We start from the raw sequence: 25,241 nt of genomic DNA, 5'->3' as shown, positions 1-25,241 counted from the left end.
TGTAGAAAACCTTTTACATATGTGGATACTGAAATTCTTATGGCCTGGATCAGTGGCCTGGATCATAGCTAATCTTTATGAAAAGATCACTGTATTATTACATTGTTACTACAGGTAGATTTTCACCCTGGTCCTTGCATGAATCATTTGGTTGTACTGTCCATGATGTCCAGTAGTAGATTAAAAAAAAAAGAAATAAAAACAAAAACCCAAGCCAATGCCTACGACGTTGCTACAAGTATCCTTTAACCTGTGGTGTGAAGTTATTTCCAAAGATGAAGTTTGCCATTCAAATACCATTTCCTGGTGTTCATTTGATTTCTGTAACACCTCTTTTTCTATCTCCGCTAACTCTAGATCTGTAGTCCTTCCAAACATGCTACCTACCACTTACACTTTGCCAAAGTGTAATTTTTGCTCTCTTATCTGCTTCATAAGAGAATGTTTGTAGTTTCATGATTTGTAAGTGGGAGGGGGTGCTTAGCAGGAGTTGAGATCACCAGCCCAGGGAGGAGGAAATGGAATCAGAATAAGCAAGAGGAATAGACGGGGTACTGGGCTGAAGAGCACTGTGGGAGGGTGCTATTAGTGATTCACACTGCTAGAGTGAGACCACTCTTTGATTCTGTTTGTAGAAATTTTAAGCTAAAAGTGACAGATTGTTGCCTCTCTTTATGTAAAGTATTACACATGGGAAGTTAACCTCTGCTACAGGATACTGATCAAGACAAGTCATGGGCAAGTGCAAAGAGCTAAGTGGTTTACTTTATACACTAGTATGTCCCTTCTCAGTCTTTCTTGTTATTTCGTATGACTTGCTTCCTCCAGCTAGTCCAAGCTATGTTTGTGTAAATAAGAACTGCCATTTAATGAACCCTTGCTATGAACCAGATACTATGCTAGAAGGGGGTGTAGGTACTCCAGGGGAAAGGCCTCTCCAGCAGATTAGCTTGTTCACGTGATACTAGAGTCCCAAAAGGGCAATAGTGGAAGCTCTAAAGCTTCTTGCAGCTTAGGCTTGGACTGAATAAATAACAGCAGTAACACAACAGCAATGGTAATAGTAATAATGAAAACAACTCTTCTAAAAAATTTGAGGAAAGTCTCTTGTCTATTGAATATAAAAAATATTTACCATTAAAGATTATTTTAAAATTTATTTTGAGTGTTTATTGTCTATCAGGCAGGTGTACTTGGAATGTGTTTTTTGTAATATATTCTGCCGCCTAAAAATAGGAAATATATATCCAGGTTTAGGTGTTAGGCAAGTTTTTCACTTCTGGTTTCTATTTATCTTGAATGTATTGCATTAGCCACACTATTTAACATGGGGATTAAAAAAAACTGCTGTGCATGTTCTCACTTACAAGTGGGAGCTGAACAATGAGAACACATGGACACAGGGAGGGGAACAACACACACACACTGGGGCCTGTCGGGGGAGAGCGGGGTGGGGAGAACATTAGGGAAAAGAGCTAATGCATGCTGGGCTTAATACCTAGGTGATGGGTTGATAGGTGCAGCAAACCACCATGGCACATGTTTACCTATGTAACAAACCTGTGCATCCCGCACAAGTACCTTGGAACCTAAAACAAACAAAAACTGGTGTGATCTCCCTGTAAGACAGGATTTTAAAAGCATGTCTACATTTTTGAGTTTTCTTTCAAGGTGCCAAGAAGAGGCTGACCACATTGTTTGAAGAATGGTTAAGAACTTGAACTTCGGAGTTTGCCAGACTTGCATTCCAGGCTCAGCTCTGGCACTGTAAGCTCTGTGGCCACACAGCTTTGCCGAACCAACCTGCTTAGCAGTAAAAATGAGAATAATAACATTTCCATTGAAAGGTGTTATGAAGATTAAATGAAAGTGTTTTTCTAAAGCTCTAGATATATAGTGGGGGCCCTTCTCAGGTAATCAGAAAGTTGTAGTTGCAGTTTTGTTACTAATATTGCAAATGCTCTGAAAATGTGCCACCATGGCTATGTCTTGTAGATGGTGACTTAAGCTTACCTTCCACAGTGGGAAAATAAATGATTTATTTCCCTTTAATAGCCATCACTCTGTTGATCCAGCCCTGCAAAGCTTACAGCATGGGGCTTATGAATCATGAATCAACACAAATGTCACCAAGCTAAAAGAGAGTTAGCAGAAGTAGCCTATGTTAAGATTAGGTTTCTGATTTAATGTGCAGTTTCTAAAAACCAAGTAGCATGTAACTGGTCTTATCCTTGCTGAGTTAAGATTGCTGGATCGTTAATTTAATAATTGAGAGAGGATAATTCTTGCAACTTCCAATTAGTATTGACTTGACCACTGCTTTGATGTAGGATGAAACCGCTTCACGTTGGTGTGATTTCCTCAGCTATGGTGTGTATAGTCTAGTTTAAAGCTAGGCTCTGTTATGTACTATGTCCATCCTGGAAAGTTCATTAGACAAGGAACAGAATAGTGGCTCTCTCAAGCAGTCAGTCATCCAGTGAATGCTATAGCACCTGCTTCCATCCAGCCCATGTATTCCTTCCCCTCATTCTTCTTTGTTACTTCACACCACATTCTTCCTTCAGCTAGTCCAAGCTATGCCTGCATAAGTAAGAACCGCAGTATAATGAACACTTGCTATGAGCCAGACACAGTGTTGGAGGTGGTATAGGTACTCCAGGAGGAAGACGTCTCCAGCCAGTTAGCTCAGGTGTGTTTGTATGGCACCAGTGCCCCAAGATGACAATATTCAAAAATGCCAGACTTCTTGAAGTTTAGACTTGAGAGTCTCCCAGTGTCATTTCTACTACATTCTTTTGGTTAAAGCAAGTTACCTGGCTAAACCTAGAGTCAGTGAGAGAGGGGATTGTTCAACAGTGTGCATTTAGGGAGAGAATTGTGGCTATGTTACAAACAATCTACCAGAGACTTACAGACGGCAGCTGTCTATTCCCCATTTGACTTCATCATTTATGAGCAGACGTTTGTTAAGCACATATTGGGTAGCAAAACATCTATAATATTAGCTTTTAATTTTTTAAAAAACTTTTATTTCCAGAAAGCTTAGCTTTATCTACAAGTACAGTTGGTCCTTGAACAATGTAGATTAGGGGGTGCTGACCCTCTGTGAAGCTGAAAAACCATGTATAATTTTTGACTCCCTGAAAACGTAACAATGAATAGCCTGTTGTTCACTGGAAGCATTGCTGATGACATAAATGGTCAACTAACACATATTTGTTTGTTCTATATATTATATGCTGTATTCTTACAATAAAGCAAGCTGGGCCTGGCGCTGTGGTTCACATGTGTAATCCCAGCAATTTACGAGGCTGAGGCGGGCAGATCACTTGAGGCCAGTTGTTCAAGACCAGCCTGGTCAACATGGTGAAACCCCATCTCTACTAAGAATACAAAAACTATTTTGGGTGTGGGTGGTGCGCACCTGTAATTCCAGTTACTCAGGAGGCTGAGGCAGGAGAATCGCTTGAACCGGGAGGCGGAGGCTACTTGAGCCGAGATCATGCCACTGCACTCCAGCTCTGGGCAACAGAGTGAGACTCTGTCTAATAAATAAATAAATAAATAAATAAATAAATAAATAAATAAATAAAGCTAGAGAAAAGAAAATGTTATTAAGAAAATAATAAGGAAGAGAAAATATATTTACTATTCATTAAGTGCAAGTGGATCATCATGAAGGGCTTCTTCCTCATTGTCTTCATGTTGAGTAGGGCTGAGGAGGAGGAAGATGAGGGGTTAGTCTTGCTGTCTTGCGGGTGACAGATGTGGAAGTAAATCCTCATGTAGGTGGGAATGAGCAGTTCAAACCTATGTTGTTCAAGGGCCAACTATAGTTGATTAACTCATATCTCTACAGTTAATTTTCAAACAGATGTGATAGCTGAATGAGAACTTTTAAGATAGTACTGGACAGTAACCTTATTGGAACTGGAATGGCCTTTAGACTTTTTGTGTCCAGTTTCTTCTCACCTCCTCTTTCTCTTCAAATGTGCAACTGAAACTGAGAGACCTCAGTCCCATGTCCAAGGTCAGGCAGATACTTAGCGGCAGAGTGAGGACTCCAGCCCATTTCTGCAGCTCTGCTGTGCAGTGGAAGATTTGGGACAAGTACATTATTTAAAAATGCCCACCCACTAAATATTACATTCCTAACTTTTCCCAATACACAAATATGCTTGAACTTTTAAAAGCTTGTTTTTGGTCGTGCTTGGTTTGGAATGTGAATGACTAAAACTACCTTTAGCAATTTCCCAAAGTGTAAGTTCAAATGTACAGAGAATTTTTTTCCTGAATGCCCAACACAATATGCAGTTTTACAACACATACCAGATTCTTAGATTCATTTGGTGAAGGAAGCCTCTGAATTAAAACTTTTAAATATTTCTGATTTGCAACCAGACGAAAAAGAAGAAAATTGACAACTTTTTTGATGCAACTTTGTGAAATCATGGTGTTCCTGGTTTTTCTGGTCTGGTTTTTGTTGTTGTTTTGTTTTGTTTTGCCACAGTTTAGTTCCTCACCTGATCTTTCCTTGTATCCACTTCAGAGTCTCTGAAATGTTATCTGTTTGTTGGTTCCTGGGAAATTGAGAGCCTTTTCAAAGACTCCATCTAGAAGCATATTTAAAAGTGTGAAAGAAGACATTTATGCGACCAACAAACATATGAAAAAAAGCTTATCATCATGGGTCATTAGAGAAATGCACAGCAGAACCACAATGAGATACCATCTCATACCAGTTAGAATGGTGATCACTAAAAAGTCAGGAAAGGCCAGGGGCGGTGACTCATGCCTGTAATCCCAGCACTTTGGGAGGCTGAGGCGGGTGGATCACCTGAGGTCAGGAGTACAAGACTAGCCTGGCCAACATAGTGAAACCCCATCTCTACTAAAAATACAAAAATTAGCTGGGTGTGGTGGCGGGCACCTGTAATCCTGGCTACTCAGGAGGCTGAGGCAGGAGAATCGCTTGAATCTGGGAGGCAGAGGTTGCAGTGAGCCGAGATTGTCCCACTGCAACTCCAGCCTGGGTGACAGACTCCATCTCAGAAAAAAAAAAAAAAAAAAAAATTCAGGAAACAACAGATGCTGAAGAAGATGTAGAGAAATACGAACACTTTTACACTGTTGGTGGGAGTGTAAATTAGTTCAACCATTGTGGAAGACAGTGTGGCGATTCTTCAAGGATCTAGAATCAAAAATACCATTTGACTCAGCAATCCCATTACTGGGTATAATCCCAAAGGATTATAAATTATTCCGCTATAAAGACACATGCACACTTATGTTTATTGCAGCACTATTCACAATAGCAAAGACTTGGAACCAACCCAGATGCCCATCAATGATAGACTGGATAAAGAAAATGTGGCACATATATACCATGGAATACTATGTAGCTATAAAAAAGGGTGAGTTCATGTACTTTGCAGGGACATGGATAAAGCTGGAAAGCATCATTCTCATCAAACTAACACAGGAACAGAAAACCAAACACTGCATGTTCTCACTCATAAGTGGGAGCTGAATAGTGAGAACACATGGACACAGGGAGGGGCACATCATACACCGGGGCCTGTCAAGGGGTGGGAGCTAGGGGAGGGATGGCATTAGGAGAAATACCTAATGTAGATGATGGGTTGATGAGCACAGCAAACCACCATGGCATGTGTATACCTATGTAACAAACCTGCACATTCTGCACATGTATCCTAGAACTTAAAGTATTAAAAAAAAGAAAAAGAAAAAAAGTGTGTAGCGACTTGACGCGGTGGCTCACGCCTGTAATCCCAGTACTTTCAGAGGCCGAGGCGGATGGATCACCTAAGGTCAGGAGTTTGAGACCAGCCTGGCCAACAGTGAAACCCCATCTCTACTAAAATACAAAAATTAGCTGGGCATGGTGGCACATGTCTATAATACCACCTACTCGGGCGGCTGAGGCAGGAGAATCGCTTGAACCAGGGAAGTTGAATTTGCAGTGAGCTGAGATTGTACCACTGCATTCCAGCCTGGGCCACAGAGCGAGACTCCGTCTCAATAAATAAATAAATAAATAAATAAGTAAATAAATAAAGTGTAGCTCTGGTCTTACTAAGTGTATGATGTTTGTCTCCATGAAATAATAATAATGTAAGATCTGAGAAGTTAATACTTAAAGTAAAACCTACAGCAAAACAGTCTGCTGAATTTGTCTGTGATCTCACAGGAGAGTCTAGTTGTAAACCGAAGCAAGGATGGTAGCTAATATCGCAGCAGTGTTTGTAAGAGGATTTTTAGTTTGTCATGCTTAAACAGACCCCTCAGTATTCTCACAGAGAACTGAAGCAATTCATTTTCAAGACTAACAAGAGCACAGCATCTGCATGCATGTGGCAGGTATGTTAGTGAATGTTGTGAAGTAGGTGGTCCCATCAGTTGTCATGGTTCACCTCTGTCCAGACTGTGATTGTGTGACTCGCAGTTGGCACTTCAGCAAAGCTTAGGAAAATGCCTCATCTTCTTTTGTGGGAGGTGGAAAAATAAGTAGCTGCTTTCAATGAACACTGCAAGCCTTGTTAAAGTCTGTACCTTTCATACAGAAACTCCTAGATGAATGGCAATGGAAAATACGGGTTTGTGATAACTTTGAATGATGTGTGATTGCCTTGATTAGCACTATAGTTACTAAGCAGATATGCACTTCTTTGTTTTAAAAGAGAACTTGAATTTTTTTTTTACTATAACTGCCAGTTGCTTAATTTCTACCACTTTGTCTATTTTTTTAAAAAATGAATTTCCACCTAATTTGTGCTTGTCAGTGATGACAAGTTTTAAAAGTAACTCAAGTTAAAAAAAAAAATTCTCCAGAAACCATCATCTGTCAAAAAGTTTGTATTTAATGTTTTCTTTCAGGTAGAAATGAGACATTTTCTCCTTCTTCTTTCCAGATTTGCACCCTTAATGTTCCAGAAAGCTGAGCATCCATATTATTTTGAGTTTAGGAATTTATAGTGACCTAGTCATAGTTATGAGGTGTTTGAGGGAAATGAAGGGAAGGATGAGTAGCAAAGACACATTAAACAGAATAAATTATATAGTCTTGTTTTTGGCAACTAGTCTAGCATGCAGTTTCCTTGCTTTGTTCAGTCCACATATAGAACAACTCTGTCTAAAACAGTGATCCAGTTAGGCCAGTTTCCTGTTTAAAAGCTTTCTGGACCGTCCCTTTTCCTGCTGGCAAAACCCCAGGCTTTGAGACATAGTTCTTTCTAAACTGACCCTAATTATTCTTCCCAGGTCATCTTTACTGCCACTACTGTTCCTTGTGAATATTTCGCATCTCTGGGCTGTTAACATATGATTCCTTCCACTTTGAATGGCTTGTGAAAAAGACGGGGGTCTTTTCACAAGCTGGTGATACTCTTTTCAGTCATGTATTTAGACCAAATCCTCTCACTTTGTGGAGTCTTGGAATAGTGTCCACGTAAGGCTGGCCTGGTTAGTTTCTCCTCTGCTTCCTGAGTCCTTGAGTGGTCTTTGTATATAGCGTGAAGTGCACAGCATTGGGAAGTCTGTGTCTGCAAGCCCATCACCTTCACTAGGATACAACATTTTCATCTTTGGACCTCTAGGCTAACCGGAGATTGAAACTTACTTGGCCTCTACCTAAACATTTCTTGAGCAACTCAGTGAGCTGTCCATGTAGTTTAGCAGACGTTCCGATGATTGTTTCATGGAGTTTGTGTCAACGGGGAAGGACTGCTGAGAGGCAGAAACCATAATGACCAGAAAGCTGGAAGTCATGGAACACGTGTCCACGTTTCTTCAGTTAATTTTTAGAAATGAGTGAATGTCACCTGACAGTTGGTGTCTCTTGTTTTTTTTTAATGAAGCTGTACCATTGCAAGCCATTTTCTCTCTCTAAGTTTCCTGTGGAATTTCTTTCCTTATCAAGATAGTAATACTTTGGAGTTTTGAATTTTTAAGAGATTCAGTCAAAGCATCTTGTCATTTTATCCAGTTGCTCCACTTCTTAATCTGTAAAACGGAGATAGTGTCTTTGCTATTAATTTTTCTTAAGGGACACAGAATCCAAATACTCTTTGATCTACAAATCTTTTGCAAAGATGCATAACTGTTTACTGAACATTTTACTAGAAGTCAGCCTGTTGCTTTTAAAATCTAGGAATGTTATTTGGCTTACCAACTAAACATATTCATATTTTGCTTAGCATGCCCCCTTTCAGATGACTTGCTGCAGAATAATGAGGTGCAAGTTGAACAAAGTACTTTTCAAATTACCACAGGACCTCACCAGTTTTACCACTTACCTCCAGATGTGTGGAGGCCATCATGGGAGAATTTACCTTTTTATGTTTGGACATTTTTGTAAAAAGCTTGTGGTGTTGAATCAATGGGTTATGAAATGGTTTTAGGAATGTAACGAGCCATCCCGTGATTCTACAGAGAGAGACAATTTTATGAGCACATTTTCTATTGAATGTGTTTGCTGGTTGTACTTGAACCAAACCAAACACAATCTCTAAATCATAACACATACAACCTCTCAACTTGGAGACTCTTGATTTACAAATGTCTCTCTGTGACTGAAGTGGCTGCCAAGGGAATCACCTTCCCTATTTTGGTTGAATGTGTTTTTAATTTTGCATGAGCTGTCTTTGTTGATAATAATAAAATGATAACAGTAATTTCAGCCTTTATTGAATGGGTGTGCCAGCCACTGAGCCACGTGTTTTGTGTGCAGTGTTTAGTTCACTTCACTATGGTGCCCTAATAAGGATGGATTTTAGATGAGAAAACCAGTACAGGGAGAAGGGAATTAACTTACCCCAAGTGCCTCAGTCAAAGTTTGCAGAAACACTTTTTGTGGAATTTTTTGTCTCTGTGATGCTTCCTCATTTCAGTCTCAGGCATTTTGCCTGCAAATCCCTTTCACTTGAGAACACCCATTGTGCAACCATTTCTGTTTTTGGTTTCACCATCTCATGATGTAAAGAAAGGGAAAGTGATACCAGGCAGTGTCTTTTTACTAATAAAAGGCAGATAAGTCTTCCTCAAATTGCTCTTCTTGGTGAAGAATAATACTTGTGCTCCAAATGCTTTGGTGATGTGATTTTTACACGAAGCAGCTGAGCCAGGTGGTGTTCCAGCTTGTTCCTGGACATGTTGATACAGCCCTAATTGCTTAAGGTATGTGCCTCTTCTTAATCATCTCTCCTTTAACTGGAGAACTGTGCTACATTATGACCTGGAAAATGGGGGCATTAAAAGCAACCCCAAATGTAAATGGCCCTTACCAGCAAGTCACCAGCTGAGGAAATGCAGACGTCACATGAAGAGAACCTCCTTGATCCTCTAAGGCCCCTGGGGACTGGCTTCCTGAGAGTGTACAAGTTGGTGGTTGCCATCTTAGTTATTTTCAGGGCCCAGGTAGATGTTATGAGTGGAATGCAGAGTGGTAACTGAGATGGTTGTCATGCAAGAAAGTGGGGCCAGGGGACTAGACCTTCGAGTCTTTCAGAAGTTGGAAATGTGGAATTTTAGGGAAAATCTCCCAATTTCCAAAAATTGGGATCAGTTCAAACATTCGAAAAAGTCGGAGGTCCAAATCAAACACGTCTGTGGGCCAGAATCAGCTTGCAAGAACCCAATTTGTGACCACTGGCTTAAGATGTGTTGATAAATGGATCTATTGGTCCTTGACTAAAGGGAATCTAGGAAAGATTTGTTTTATTTTTGGGGGGTAAGAACATAACGCATAAGAAAGAAGTCACTTACTCATTTTTACCTGAGAGTTGTTTATTTGTCTTGTGAAATACTGAAACCTTAGCACTCATTGAGCGCTCTGTGGTAGCAAGTGATTTGTGATGATGGTAGTATTTTTGGAGAAGATTTTTAGAGGTTCAGTGTGGTTCTAAGTGTGTGTATTTGGGTCCTATGTGTGGCAGTAAAGAAATGTGTTCTTTGGTGAACAGTTTTTGCATCCCTGTGTTCACCTGCATGGAATTGCAAGTTGTTTCATAAATGGATCACTAGTATACGCAGAGGCTATGCATTGAGGTCTTTTCTCTGTATTATCCTATTTATCAACCAGCTGTCAGTCAAAGAAACACAAACATGGTGAGTATTATGGGATTAAGGGATTTATTATAGAAATTGGTCCTTCCTCAAATAGTAGAGGAGCTGGCGGAAGTAAAGGTCTTGAAGGAAAGTGAGAGGATTAGAGAAAGTTTCACCAGAAGTTCTTGCGTAGGGTTGGGCAGGTCAGAACTGCAGGATGCTGATGAGGGACCATAGCAGGGAACGGATGAAACATTCCAAAAGCTGCTGCTGCCTCTGTGTCTGTGGAGTTCCAAACCCTGTGGTCTGCAGCCATGTGTCTGGTGCTGGGTGGAGCCCTTGCTGCTCAACAGGGCCGCTTGTTAGGAAGAAACAGGGATCAGAGCAGAAGAAAGCAAAGACAAGCTGGACCCCATTGGGCACCTGCCGTTGTCCATCATGGTGTTTCCATCAACCTTATGAGAGTGGTGGCCTGTTTTCAGGTTCACTTTCCAAGTCTCATTAAGCTCCCCATATGGCTAGCCGTACCCCAGGACCATAGCGGGAAGGGTATTCCATTAAATGAGAGTTCCTGGCTTACCAAGTTGACAGTTGTATGATTCAGTGTACTCTACAAATAAGGACAACATCCTTAGGACTATACTGCCGTGAGCCGCTGGCTACTCTCCCCTGTTGCCCTAAAAGGCTTGTACCTGCTCTGAAACACAGTATTGAAATATCAGGATTTGGAACCTCTGCCTTGGCCAGGCCAAAGTAGGTGTATTTCTGTTTAGGGTCCTCCCAGCATAGTACCAGCAATTTACATGCACATTAGATTAATGATTTTATCTGATCTTTCTTCCTGGAAAATTTGGGTCTGGTGGGGTGGAGAAAAGGGAGGTACTCAAGACCATCATACAGAGAAGCAGAAGGGGAGAACAAGAGAAATTTTGGAGGTTGGATTGAGGGAAGCTGAACTCAATTTTAATTTGGGTCCAGTCCATGTAAATCCTCTACTTTTTTGTCTGCCTGCCTGTCTGCCAATCAATCAATCAGTCCATTCATTCGTTAATCAGTTATGTATATCTATATCTATTAATATTTTTCTGTAGATCTATACCTATCATATCCATCCATATGTTTATATTATATTTACCTAATCTATTTAATCTATATCATGTTATGCACATATATATGAAACATTTTTGAGTGGAAAATTTTATGGAAAAAGTATTCTATATAAGGTGGATTAGTAATCCTCTTTTGAAAAAAAATTCTAGTTCTTCTCAATTGTGAAAGATATGTCTAAGCTTTCTAACAAAATGAACTCCAAACAGTCTTAGATGTCTGCCTCTTTTTAATCATTTAGTGAAATAATTGGTTTCTCTTTTTATGAGAAGGTGTTAGGATAAGTAAGAAATCCTGATACTTAACTCGTCTGCCTATTGCTTGACTACAGAGTTATTAGAGTTCAGTCTTTGCATTAAAAGGAAACATACTTGTAATTTTGCACTCTTTGCCAAAGTGTGAGCTGCTTTTTAGGCGGTACTTCAACTTTTTATTGAGGTATTGGCTACTTCTACTTCTTGCTGGTAGTGTGGCTACTAAACAATATAAAGTATATTACTTTCAAACCTTAGAAAATTAATTCAGAAGTCCTAGAGCACAGAAACAGGTTTTTCCTGCTGCTAAAATATTTTCCCTCCTTAGGTTATTTGTGTGTGTTGTGTATTTGTGTCTGTCTGTGTGTGAGTGGGGAAGTTATTTGATGTGGAAGTGTTGGGAGATACATTGTCATTTGGGAATATACTCCTGAAGCCACTAAACATCCCAGGTAGTGACAGTGGTTTGCTCTGGTGCAGATCACTTTCGATTTTTTTTTCTTTTCCTTTTTTTTTTTTTTTTTCTTTTGAGATGGGGTCTAACTCTGTTGCCAGGCTGGAGTGCAGTGGCGCAATCTTGGCTCACTGCAACCTCTGCCTCCTGGGTTCAAGCGATTCTCCTCCTCAGCCTCCCACGTAGCTGGGACTACAGGCGCCTGCCACCGTGCCTGGCTAATTTTTTATTTTTAGTAGAGATGGGGTTTCACCATGTTGGCCATGATGGTCTCGATCTTCTGACCTCAGGTGATCCTCCCGCCTCGGCCTCCCAAAGTGCTGGGATTACAGGCGTGAGCCACCACGCCCAGCCTCACTTTAGATTTTTTTTTTAAAGAGACCAGACATTTTTTGAACCCCTCAATATGTTAGGCACTGACTGGAGTGCTTAACAATCCTAGCTACTTAGTGGGAAGACTGCCTTTTCTTTCTTCTTTTTCTTTTTCTTTTTTTTTAAATTAAGATGGAGTTTCGCTCTTGTTGCCCATGCTGGAGTGCCATGGCCTGATCTTGGCTCACTGCAACCTTTGCCTCCCTCCTGGGTTCAAGTGATTCCCTTGCCTCAGCCCTCTGAGTCGCTGGGATTATGGCATCAGCCATCACACCCGGCTAATTTTTTGTATTTTTAGTAGAGTTGGGGTTTCACCATGTTGACCAGGCTAGTCTTGAAATCCTGACCTCAGGTGATCCACCTGCCTCGGCCTCCCAAAGTGTTGGGATTACAGATGTGAGCCATTGCGCCTGGCCAAGACTGCCTTTTCAAGGCTCTTAGGAGACTTGTTATGGCCCAGGTGTAGAACATAAGAATGGAAGTTGAACATTCACGAATTAACCAATCACAATTCAGCACATAACTGTTGAGCATCTATTATGTGATGAGGGTTAGGAAAGGCTTTTTAGAGAGGGCAGTGATTTGGGGTGGAGGAGGAGAGCAGTCCTGTCCTTCGTGTCTGTGTTCACCTATGATCATCATAAGGAAGAGCATCCTGGAGGACGTTCCTGTCCTGTATCCCAGGGCCTGTGTTTAGGAAACCAAGTCACACCTCCATGGCTTTTTGGTAATGGCATAGTTGGTTGTGAGGAGTTGTTCTCCTAAGTCTGACTGAGTCGTCATCCTGTGCTCTTAAGCTATGCTTTCCAAGCCCACCAGGCCCTTCATTCCCAGCTGTGGTTGGAAAGATACATAAAGTTCTCTTCCAGGCTCTCTTCTCTGGTAGAACTCCTTGACAATTTGCCTTGTCAAAGCGTTCTTCTGATAATGTGTATGTCTAGTTATCACACCTGCCATCTTTTTGTGGGAAGCTTACTGTCTAGGCCAGAGGACCCCCCAGCACTAGGCTCCTTCCTAGCCTTCCTCATGGATGGTCACCCAGGCTTGAATTACAGACCTTTCTCTCCTTCACCCAGGGCCAAGTACTTCTCTTTCAAACGGTCCCTTTTCAGACTTGCCCGCATGTGTGAAAATACAAGGGGTAGATCTTAGGGGCCTGATAGGTAGTAAGTGGTAAGATGCAATGTAAGCCGGGGTAGGGGGGATGTTTATCACAGGCTTCCTGGAAACTAGTTGGGTTTCACTGAGTCCATTCATTTCCTTCTCTCTGATGAATGAGTAATCAGATGATTCACAGGGAGCTGCTAGTTAGAAGACTGCAGCATGTTCTCACTAGTGCTGTCCTGTTAGACCCAGGGGAAAGGTTATATTGGTGTGTTTTTAGGCACCATGTGTCAATTCTTTCAAGATGTATATATATTTTTGTTTTTCTAAAGGGGGCAGGGTTTCAAAAAGGTTTGAGAAGCATTGTGTTAGACCAAGTTTGTCCAACCTGTGGCCTGTGGGCCACCTGCAGCACAGAATGGCTTTGAATGCAACCCAACACAAATTCGTAAACTTTTAAAAAACATTATGATATTTTCTGTGATTTTTTTTTTCCTAGCTCATCAGCTATCACAAGTGTTAATGTATTTTATGTGTAGCCCAAGACAGTTCTTCTTCCAGTGTGGCCCAGGGAAGCCAAAAGATTGGACATCCCTGTGTTAGACCATCATTTGTTTGCTATATGATGTCATAGTGGTAGAATGGTCACTTAAGGTAAAATCTGAATAGAGAAATTTGGCAGAAATCATAGGAATTTCTGTTTGAAGGCATAATGAGGGTTAATCATTTTTCATAATAGATGTTAAGATTAATAGTAATCATAGCCCATATTTATTAAGCACTCGCCACACACTGGTTTGAGATTAAGATTTTGCGAGAATAATAATAATCATTTAATCTTCCCAATAGCCCTATGAAGGAGGCTCTATTATATTGATTTTATACATAAGGAAACTGAAATTAGACTTAGTTATTATCAAGGGATGGGTCCAAATGACAAGACCAGCCATCTGTCCTGGAAAACCATGCCCTGGTATGCATTCAAAAAGAGAATGAGGTTTTGTTTCTCATCTCCATTTCTTTATACTGGAAAAACCGTTCAAAATTTAATACAGCTGTATGATCTGGCAAAATTCTTCTTCAGATAGAGGTGGATTTTAAAGAGAATGGTGATTTGTCTACACGTGTTCACAGCAGCTTTATTTATAGTAGCCACAAACTGGAAACAACGCAGATGCCCATCAGAGGTGAATGGATGAGTAGACTGTGCTATATCCATGCAGTGGAATAATATTCAGCAATAAAAGAGAACAAACTATTGATACATGCTGACATGGATGATCCCAAAATATGCTGAGTGAAGAAGCCAGAGAAGAAAGAATGTATAGGTTATAGGATGCCATTTATACAGACTTCTAGGAGATGCAAATTAATGTACAATGACAGGAGACAGATTAGTGGTTGCAGTACAATGGTTGGAGTGGATGGTAAGGAAAAGAGAGTGCAAAAACTTTAAAGAGTGATGGGTATTTTATTAACTTAATATTGGAAGTGGATGCATGAGTGCATATGCATGTCAAACTTATCAAAATATACAGTTTACCAATGTGCAATTTATCGCATATCAATTATAGCTCCATAAAGCTGTTAAAAAATTTATATATATATATATACATATACATACAGTAAGGGAAGGCAAGGAGAATGACCCATTAATGTGTGGGAGTAATAAAAGAGAAATTGTACAATGAGAGGCTCACTCTCAGAGCGGCCTCGGAACCCCAGAGAGGTTATTATTGTTTGATCAGTCAGTCAACAGGTATTTATTGAAATTCTTCCAGGTACTTTGAGAGAATGAGAGATGTATGTGAGCTTAACTGTGCCTGGTAGTGGGACCCATTTGGAAAGAGCTGGGCTCTGGAGTTAGTCTGATGTGGGTTTCAATCCTGGTTTTCCCACTCCTTGGGTTAAAGCTTTTGAACTCCTTTACCTTCTCTTAGCTTCTCTTTAGTCCTAGGGAAAAATGGAGATGGCAGTATCTTTATTTTAGGGTCGTTTGAAGGATTAGCAATAATATGTATCAAATGCTTGGCCAAAGTGTGGGGCACATGGTAGGAATGCAGTGGCAGCGATTATTATCATCACTTTAATTGCAAAACTGGAAGTTCAGATTCCAGGAGGAGGATGTAGTTGCTGTGGACTGGCCTTCTCAGGCAAAACTTCACTTGGAATAGGCTTGGAAGACTGTATAGGAGTTACATGAAGTGGAATGGTTTGACTCAAAGTGCAGAAATGGGACTACATAAATCTGTTAGGTTTCTTGAGGAAGTAGGGGAGATCAGGTAGGGGAAGGGCAAGAAATCCTACTTACTAGGAAAGATGGCTTCCTAGCTAGTTTGGGGCACAAATACTCAACAGACCATTGCTATGGTGAAAATGGTAGAAATGAGAAGAGCAATGGAGGGAGGAAGACCTGTGTCATGAAAATACTTATCTGACTGTTCAGCATTATTGATATTGTGGTCTGGATGACTCTGTGTCATGGAGACTTGCCCTGTACATTATAGGATGTTTAACAGCATCCCTGGCCTCCACCCACTGGATGCCAGTAGGTAGCATTCTTCACCCCCATACACATGACAGTCAAAAATATCTCCTGACTGCCAGATGTGCCTTGGTGGGGTCACTGAAGACCACTGCTTTAGTAATTAGACTAAGCATCAGTGAAGATGAGATTTTCATTTCAGTGTTGGAAGGGAGAAAGGAGTGGAGTTCATTTAAAATAATAGAATGAACTGCTCTAATTATAGAGGTGTAGCAGAAGTAACATGGTTCAGAGCATTGACAGCAAGGCCACTTATAAGCTGTATGGTCTTTGGCAAATAACCTGTTGTACTTCAGCTCCCTCATGTGTAAAATGGGGGCAATAATTGCACCTACCTTAAATCAGTAAGTTAAATTGTAACTGAGGCCACCGATTATTTGCTTAAAGAAAACAGCATTACTCCTCCTTTATTGGAAAGACTTTGAAGAAAAGGGGATCTTCCTGTCTCTAGCTCTCTTGAGTTGTTTTTTAAAGGACCCATCTTTTGAAAAGACCCGTTAAAAAATTAGTCAGACATGAGGCTATTGAAAGATCAATGTGGAAAATGTACTTTGTCCCTGAGTTGATTCTTTTTCTCTGGGCCCACTGAAAGATCTTCAGATTATAATGTAAAAGTGAAGTCTTTTTGAACAGAGCAGAAGAAAAGGATATCAAGGGCATGAAGTGGATGTTACTGAAGGGAGTCGTGGTGTGCTGTAAAGGAACTCCTGAGAGGGACATTGGCCGAAGGGTCATCTCCCTCTTCTTGGCACTGAACGACCACCACAGACCACAAAAGGGCTTAGAACCGACCTCCATTTCAATGGGACTTTTCAGTGACACTTGAGACCTCGTGTCATAGCCAGTTTGTGACCATTCTCCAACCCAAGCATTCTGCTGCTTTTACAACAGATTATTTTAGAAGCTGCTTAGGAGATGCTACTAGGGATGTGTCAGGCTTCAACAAATTAGGATTTCCTCCCCACCACTCTGATGATGGTGAGACCAGCATGGAGACTGGCAGAGTGATGAATGCATTGGCTTATCAAGGTCATGAGTGGCAGCCGGCTGCATTGTGTCCCCAATTCAAACAAGGATCCCCCAACACTGCAACAGTCTAGGATTGTCTCCTAAATTCTTCACATTCCAAGCACACAAAGGAGGTGTCCTGGAGCCATGTACCTTGGGGAAGGCAGATTATTTGTAAGCTCTTGTGTTGCCTTCACTGCAGACAGATGGGCCTCCTCTATCCTAAACAGAGGCTATTTAATAACGTTTGCTTCTTGTTAACTTTCCTTACTCACCTGATCTAATGAACCTATGCTGCTTTGGAACATCACTGGAAATGTTTCAGAACAAAGCAAGAATCATTTGGACTAGTACTTCTTTTGGAGAGGTGGCTATTAAATGGGGTTTAAAGTTTTTCATTTGTTTGTTTTTTTACCTCTTAGATTTGGAGCTTCTTCTATGGCCTTGCACATATCATTCTGTGACTATGATGCCCACATTAGCCCAGTTGTCTTACAAGTATGTAAAATCCTTCCAGCAGTTCAGGTTCATTTGGCATTCTTGTTAAATGTACTGCTGTTAGGACTGGAATGAGAAAAATGATAGAAATACAAGTAACCATAAAACAAAACTAGAATAGAATAACAGACACTGAAGTAAAAACAAAATGTTTATCCATATTTTGTCATTCAGGCCTATTCATTGAAATAAAGAGTACAAAGATTTTAAAAATCCAACTATATTATGAGGAAATGTTTTAAGAATTTTTTGACAGTCTTTCCTAAACATTTCAAGTTGATTGACAAAAGATAACAATCCATCATATTGCCTACTAGCCAATGTTTTGTGGTGCCTTCACCTCTGAGTTCTAGGAAGTGGTTTTAATCATGTTTGCGTTCAGCTCCCCTTCCCATTTATTAAAGATTGGAAAATGCTAAGGTTTAGTTGACATGATGACCTTAACGTAAAAGGGCATGAAGAGGGCAAAGACTCCCAGCTTCTAAGTCTAGTTCATCTGTTACTCTCAAAGGTGTCTTTGACACTTAGAAATGCTTCCACACCCTTGCCGACTTTTACTTTTTAGGAAGTGTGCAGTATGGTAACCCCCTTTCAAAGGCCAATAGCAAGGCCACGCCTGACTTCAAAATGAGGTTATGCTTTATGCTGGAGATGCACAGCAGAAAACAGTAGTCCAGCCAGGTGGGGAAATAAAGCCAGAAGAGACAGTATATTTTCAGGAGCAATTTAGTGCTTGATTGATCTTACGATATTGTTAGCGTAGTGTTTATAGCTGATTGGGTTTACCTGAAGCAACTGACCAGCACTCCGTGTTTGGAAACAGTCAAGGGAGAAAACACATTGATTAGTTGGTAAGTTAACTCTGTACCTCCATACTCTAAAATTAGTAAATCAGCCTGTCATTGACAGCTTGGAAAGATGTTCCTGTGTCTCACTGATCCCTGGCCAGGGTTGCCAGGACTTTCTCTTTACTTTGTGTTTTCCCTGGCCCATCAATTCTTCTTCAACTTTTGTGACTTTTTTAAAACTGGCTTTATTCAATTTTTGTTTAACTGAAAGGCACAGGATGCAAACTGAATTTATAGGATGTTTTATAGCGAGAATAAAAGGATAAATTTCAAAATCATATGCTAATATGTAAACTGAATTTACTCAAAACATTCCTTTTGTTTTGTTTTTTTGAGATAGGATCTTGCTCTGTCACCCAGGCTGGTGTGCAGTGGTACCATCATGGCTCACTGCAGCCTCGACCTCCGAGCTCCAGTGATCCACCCGCCTCTCAGCCTCCTGATTAGCTGGGACTACAGGGGCATGCCACCGTGCCCTGTCAATTTTTTATATTTTTGGTAGAGATGGAGTTTTGCCATGTTGGCCAGGCTGGTCTCAAACTCCTGGGCTCAAGTGATCCACCCACCTCGGCTTCCCAAAGTGCTGGGATTATAGACGTGAGCCACTACACCTGGCCAAAACATCACTATATTTGTGTGTATGGATTATACCTTCTCTGCTGATGTTAATAGCAGGGATTCTTTTTTTCCCATTCTTTCTGTGAGGTGTGATGGAGAAAACTTATGTCCTATAATGAAATGGGAATAAGGATCTAAAATACATTAAATAGCACAGAACACCTCCCTCCACCTTCTAATTCTTAGAGCAATATCATCTTTCTTCTTCTTTAGTTCCCTCCAAGATTAATCAAGATATTATTTATGGATGGTGTAGACCTGGTGTGGCAAATTAGAGTCTGTGGGCTAAGAATGGCTTTCACATTTTTAAGTGGTTAAAAAAATCAAAAGAAGAATAGTACTTTATGACATGTGAAAATTATATGAAAATCAAATGTCAGTGTTCATAAATAAAGTTTTATTGGAATACAGCCACACTCAATTCATTTACTTCCTGTCTCTGGCCACTCTCCTGCTACAATGGCAGAATTGAGTACTTGCAAGAGAGACCATATGGCTTGTAAAGCCCAAAACGTTTACTCTCTGACTCTACACAGAAAAGTTTGCCGACCCCTGCTGGGAGGCAGATCGAAAATGAATAATCATCAGTAATAGAAAGAGCACAGCCTTTAGAATCAGGCAGTACAGAGTCCATGTTATGTCTTGGTTTCCTCAGAGCTGCAACTATTACACATTATTATTCCACCTTAGAAGGTTTGGGTGAGGACGAAATGAGATAATGAGTGTAAAGCATCTATACATGTATAGCATGCTGCCAAATACCTCACAGATATTCAGCCAGTGCTGGTATCTTTCCCTCTCCAGGTTACAAATATTTCGGGTTCATTGCCTTACCTCAGGTCCTCTGTTCACACAGAACTGGAGTGAAAAATACCCTTTGCAAGTCTGACAATAGCCGGAGAGACAAAAACCCATGTCTCTCTCTCTCTACCTTCCTTTATTTAGTGTCTTTTCCTCCATAAACTGGTGGCGTTTAGCCCTGTGAAATGTCATTTTACCTTAAGGTGAATGGGTATATAGAATTGGTCTTGACCTTGAATAAAAGAAGGACACACCAGGCAATCATCATTTGGGGGAACTTCAGAGAAATTGCTCCATGAGAGTAACACAGAGCAGTGACTTCTGCTGGAGGGGTTCACAGGTGACATTTTGAGCCCTGTGCAGCCTGTGCCTCCGAGACAGTCAGCGAGGGAGCCCTGGCGGTCGTGGGGCTGCCTTCGCCAGCTTCAGAACTGTGGTTTTTCCCCCATTAACACACTTCTTGTTAAGCTGATGTGGTTGCTTTCTAAACTGAATCTTCCCTTGGCCAGAAAGAAAGAAAAAGCTTCCCTGCGTGAAGATGAAGGTTTATTGGCAATGTCTTCTTTAGTCTCTTAGCAAGAACAGCAAACAGAGAACTCCCTTCTTTCTGACTTAAGTTACACATATTTTTTTTCTCTTTTTTACTTTCAAAGCTGGCAGCCTCATAAGAGCAGCATTCAAATAGACCGTGCCAGGGATGCAGGGCACCATGAATGGGGCATTTCTTGTCCTTCTGGCCCCCTTTCCCTTTGTGCTGTCTCTTTTCCATGTGTTATTAGCCACCTTGCAAAGTCGGAGCTTTGCCAACAAATTCTGGGTTCTGTGGGTTGCTGTCTGAATCTGCTGCTTATTCAGGAAAATGAGTTAGTTTCTGCTGTTTGTAGAAAAAAATCAACAAACCCACTTATAGGTTACATTTAGGTTACTAATATATGTGGTAGCACAGCTAAGTAAACTGGAGATTATGCTGATGCTATGTGCTTATTATTGCAGTGTGGGTTTTAATGTGAATTTTGCACAAATCCATGAATGATATGCCCATTTGCCTTTTTAATTTTCTTGCTGTTAAAAAATTAGCTTATTTTGTAGCCATTGAAATATATATAAAGAAAAAATTAACTTCTACCTGTTTTTTTTCTTTTAAAAATATTTTTATGTGATCTAACCAGTCTGAAATAGTTGGCTGTAAATGGATGTGGGAGTGTCATTTCAAACCTTTTACAATTTGGGATTTCTTCTGGGGGGAGTGGGTATCAGAGCTTTAGTTCTTGTTATTGGCTTATGACGATAGTCTGGAATTTTATAGATTGTGTTTGGCTGTCAGCATGGTGCTTGGGTGTGATTAATTTGTGTAGCTTGCCATTGGATAGATAATATTCATTCCTTGGATCCTTGTTCAGAAGGGATTAACCAAGTGAACTGGAAAACATGTCTTTGCAGGAGAGCTTTCACTGTTTGTGATAATCAGTGAACAATCTAGTGCTAATTTAATTCCACTCATAGATCTGGCTGACTCATTGGCTCTTAATGCTTCTTAACTTCTATATTTTTAATCTTCAGTTTTTTACACATATACAAATATTATAGTAGACATAGTTCAAAACTTAACATTTCTCCAGGGATCTTGCTCTGGGAATGCAAAGTAAATACCCTCTAAAATAGGTTTCTGGAATGTTGTTTTTCTGATGGGTCTGTTATTTCTGCCTTTCTTCTAATGGGAAAAAAAATTGATTTGAAAGGGTAAAATAAACTTAGCTTTTTTGGAAAGGGAGGGTTAAAATAAAATTAACAACAACAACAAATAAACAGGTGATACCTTAGAGACCTATCTGGCATAGGACTTTTGAAGCCTATAACATGGCTTTGGGTTTTGGTATTGATCTTTTATAGGGCTAAATAATTTATAGCCAGGCTTTTGCCTTGTGGGATGGTTGGAGTGTGTGTTCCACCAGGAGGCAAAGGTTTCTGTTCAAATCTTCCTGTTCACTTGATTTAGGTGTTTGATAAGTGACTGCAAAATGGAGAGGTCACTTTAGGAAAGGTTTCTCTCTTCTTGCCCTCTGTTGCCTTTGAGTAGTTTCCTCCTGTGTTTTGTTCATCTGAACAATGCATTGACTTGCCCTATGTAGGAAGGCTGGAGAGCTGCTTATGAATTGTAGTAAGATGTCTTATGGCTTCCAGGGAGCAAACCTAGGGAGTTCCCAGGTACTGATTTTTTTTTTTTTTAATATTAATTCTTGTTCTGTTGTCCAGGCCAGAGTGCAGTGGTATGATCTCTGCTCACTGCAACCTCTGCCTCCCGGATTCAAGCAATTCTCCAGCTTGAGATTACAGGTGTGCATCACCATGCTAGGTATTGATTGATTAATTGATTGATTGATTGATTGTGGTGCCTCCATGGACTAGACTCTGCCTCCCACTTTACTTGTAGCCTAAATGTAGGTGACAGGTGAATGTAGGGTTGCCAGATTTAGCAAAGAGAACTATGGGGCATCCAGTTAAATTTCAATTTCAGATAAATAGCAGATATTTTTTCGTATTAAGTATGCTCTGTATTTTATCTGGCATCCCCAAGTGAGTGTTGGGGAATTAGTTTTCTCTATCCTGAAGGCCTTCAGGTTCGATCACATATTCAGAGATAATTGTGAGTGAGATGTATGGATGGGAAAAGAGAGCACCATTTATTAGGTACTTTTTATATCAAGTACTTTGTATTTAGTCCTTAGCTTGGGAGGCAAGTATTGTAAACTCACTGTACCTTTGATGATAAAAGTAGCTAACGTTGATTGAGTGCTCTCTATGTCCTGGGCCCTGTTCTAAGAACTTTGATGTATCCTTATTTAGTGCTTAAAATAAACCTAAGAGGGTTAAGTACTATTATGATTTCCATTTTACACGAAAGGAAACTGAGCTGCAAGGTCACATAGCTAGTAAGGGATTGTTCTGGGCTGAAGAAAAAGGATGCATGGAGGGGAGTATCTTGCCCAAGGTCACGTTATTAGTAATTAGTGGAGTCAGAATTCCAATGCAGGTTCCTTCACTCCAGCTCTTCTTACCTCAGAAAACACACTTGCCTGGACCCTCCCCTGGAGTTGGATTTAGTTGGCTTGGGCATGGCGATTTTTAAAACTTCCCCAGGCGATTTTAATGCACAGCCAGACTGAGAACCACTGCTTTACCCCATTTTTGGAGTAAAATGAATTACCCTCCTTAGGAAATCTGGTCGCTCTATGTGGCCATTCCTTTAGTTCCTGCCCCTCCTCCACAGAAACACACCATTCCAAATCTGGCAGCTAATTTTTCATGGTCTTTGTTTCTTCAAAATTATTTTCAGGAAGTCTTGGTGAATATATGTTGGGGTATAAACAGACCACAAAGAAAGACCCCATAGGGGTATTCTGTTGATGGATTTTCTGCACGATCTTTTCTTTTTCATTCTTCCATTATACTTCCTGGAGGAGGGACTACCCCTTTGTTCGTCATTTAGTTCCAGCTGGGTACCAGGTTGGGTATTTGGGGAGGTTTACAGATTAATAAAACTAGACCACTACCCTCCAGGAGTTTTCAATTTTAGAAGGGAAGTATATAAATGTAATTCTAGGTTTAATTTTCTAAAAGTCACTTCAGAGGAATACAAAGTATTAGGGAATTCAGAGGCAGCAGAGGCAGAGTGAGGTGGTGTGAAGTGTGAGCTCTGCAGTCACTGCCTTGGTTTGAGTTCCTGCCCCACCGCTTCCTACCCACAGAACTCTGGCCAGTGCTTGAGCCCTCCTGGTCTCCAGGACTTTGTTGGCACAGTGGACATGCCAAATTTTTTGATGAGAGACATGACGAGTTAGTGCTGGTGGAGTGCACACCACCGGGCCCAGTGTGAGGGTCAGTCCTGGTGAGCTGCTGTGCTCTGTGCGTTGCCTGAAGCTTTCCAGCAGGCCTTAGCTGATGCTCATGGATCCAAAACATCAATAGTAAGTTACTAAGCCTTATCTGCTGCTCCTTAAATTGACAGAGTCAAGAATTAGGTAACCAGGGAGGAGCCACAGAGGTGTGTGAATGGGAAACTAGACCCAGTCCTGGAAGATGAGCAGGAAATGGAGTGGGAGACATTGATACCCCAAGACCCTAGTTAGGCAAAAAGAAAAAAAAAAAAAGACATCTAGGCTGGGCACGGTGGCTCATGCCTGCAATCCCAGCACTTTAAGAGGCTGAGGCTGGCGGATCACTTGAGGCCAGGAGTTTGAGACCAGCCTGGCCAACATGGTGAAACCCTGTCTCTACTAAAAATACAAAAATTAGCTGTGTGTGGTGATATGTGCCTCTAATTTCAGCTACTCAGGAGGCTGAGGCATGAGAATCGCTTCAACCTGGGAGTTGAAGGTTGCAGTGAGCTGAGATCATGCCACTGCACTCCAGCCTGGGTGATGGAGTGAGACTCTGTCTCAAAAAAGAAAAGAAAAAAAAAAGACATCCAGTCCATCCAGAGAGCCCGGGACCCTTATCTAGTAAGAAGGCAGCTGCAATAGAAAGAGGAAGGCATTTGGTGTGAGGACTCAGATACGTATTATGTATATGTGGTGGCAGGTGGGAGGAGGGTGGTGATGGAAGCTTCTAGTCTTGGTGGTAACATTCACGATGGATGACATAGAAGAGGCTGATTGTTAAAGGGAAAAGGATGATGAATTAGGTTTTGGGTAAAGTTATATTGCAGCCTTCATTGCAAGCAATGCAGTGCCACATTCTATGTTGTTAATACGCACATGCCCCAGATTGCACATTTGGGGATGAGGGACCTCTCTATATCTAACTTTTACTGGTTTGAGAGCGTGAATGAAGAAAGGCTCACACCACTGCTACCATCCCATCTGTCTTTTATGTTGAACTTGTGCTTTCTTCCCCTAGTTTGTTTAGGTCTAAGTAGAATACTTTGCATAGGAAATCGATAAATCTTCTATTGCTGTTTGAGTGATGGGGCAGTTTCTTTATTACCAGACAGTTCTGCGAGCAATAAATATTTCTAATATCCTGAGTATATTTATTTCTAAGTGGGAGTTAGAGTAATGAGACATTTACTAACGCTGGGCTCGACTCAGAATTCAGAAACAGAAGGTAGATGACTGGCAAGGACTGTTCCTACTCTAGAGTTTTAAGGTCATTAGAAAGCTTTTGTTTTGTTGAAAGCACTGTACTTTGTGTACGATATGGTTGAGCCTTTTAGAAGGTTGCTGAGACTTACGTCTTATCTTTGCTTATATAGTATCGACTAGAGGTTGGCAAACTTTTTCTGTGAAGCGCCAGATAGTAAATGCTTTAGGTTTTGCACATACATTCTCTGTCACAGCTAGTCAACGCTTGTAAGAGGATAGCAGCTGTAGACAATATGTAAACAAATGAGCTATGTTCCAATAAAACTTTGTTTACAAAAGCATGCGGTGGGGCGCCTGTAGTCCCAGCTACTCGGGAGACCGAGACTGGAGAACGGCTTGAGCCCACGAGTTTTCGACCAGCCTGGGTAATAGAGTAAGACCTTGTCTCTATAAAAAATAAAATCAGCCGCGCACGGTGGCTCA

At 40.9% G+C, this 25,241-nt stretch overlaps 1 protein-coding gene across 1 annotated transcript in view, besides 3 other annotated features; it reads left to right on the top strand.

Annotated features, from left to right (window-relative positions):
* EXT1 (exostosin glycosyltransferase 1) overlaps positions 1-25,241 on the top strand; it is a 317,337-nt gene that overhangs the window by 41,898 nt on the left and 250,198 nt on the right. The gene's annotated exons all lie outside the window — the stretch shown is intronic.
* Positions 13,365-13,659: an enhancer, noted in NCBI's record as "tiled region #9283; K562 Activating non-DNase unmatched - State 24:Quies". NCBI's record gives its function as "activates a minimal TATA promoter and a strong SV40 promoter by Sharpr-MPRA in K562 cells {active_cell/tissue: K562}" and the evidence as "EXISTENCE:reporter gene assay evidence [ECO:0000049][PMID:27701403]".
* Positions 19,570-20,069: an enhancer, noted in NCBI's record as "H3K4me1 hESC enhancer chr8:119062099-119062598 (GRCh37/hg19 assembly coordinates)". NCBI's record gives its function as "activates a minimal SCP1, AML or CMV promoter by ChIP-STARR-seq in primed H9 embryonic stem cells {active_cell/tissue: H9 hESC(primed)}" and the evidence as "EXISTENCE:reporter gene assay evidence [ECO:0000049][PMID:30033119]".
* Positions 20,070-20,571: an enhancer, noted in NCBI's record as "H3K4me1 hESC enhancer chr8:119061597-119062098 (GRCh37/hg19 assembly coordinates)". NCBI's record gives its function as "activates a minimal SCP1, AML or CMV promoter by ChIP-STARR-seq in primed H9 embryonic stem cells {active_cell/tissue: H9 hESC(primed)}" and the evidence as "EXISTENCE:reporter gene assay evidence [ECO:0000049][PMID:30033119]".

This window comes from Homo sapiens, chromosome 8, assembly GCF_000001405.40.
Source record: "Homo sapiens chromosome 8, GRCh38.p14 Primary Assembly".
Lineage (NCBI taxonomy): Eukaryota > Metazoa > Chordata > Mammalia > Primates > Hominidae > Homo > Homo sapiens.
This window is presented reverse-complemented; position numbering and strand designations above follow the sequence as displayed.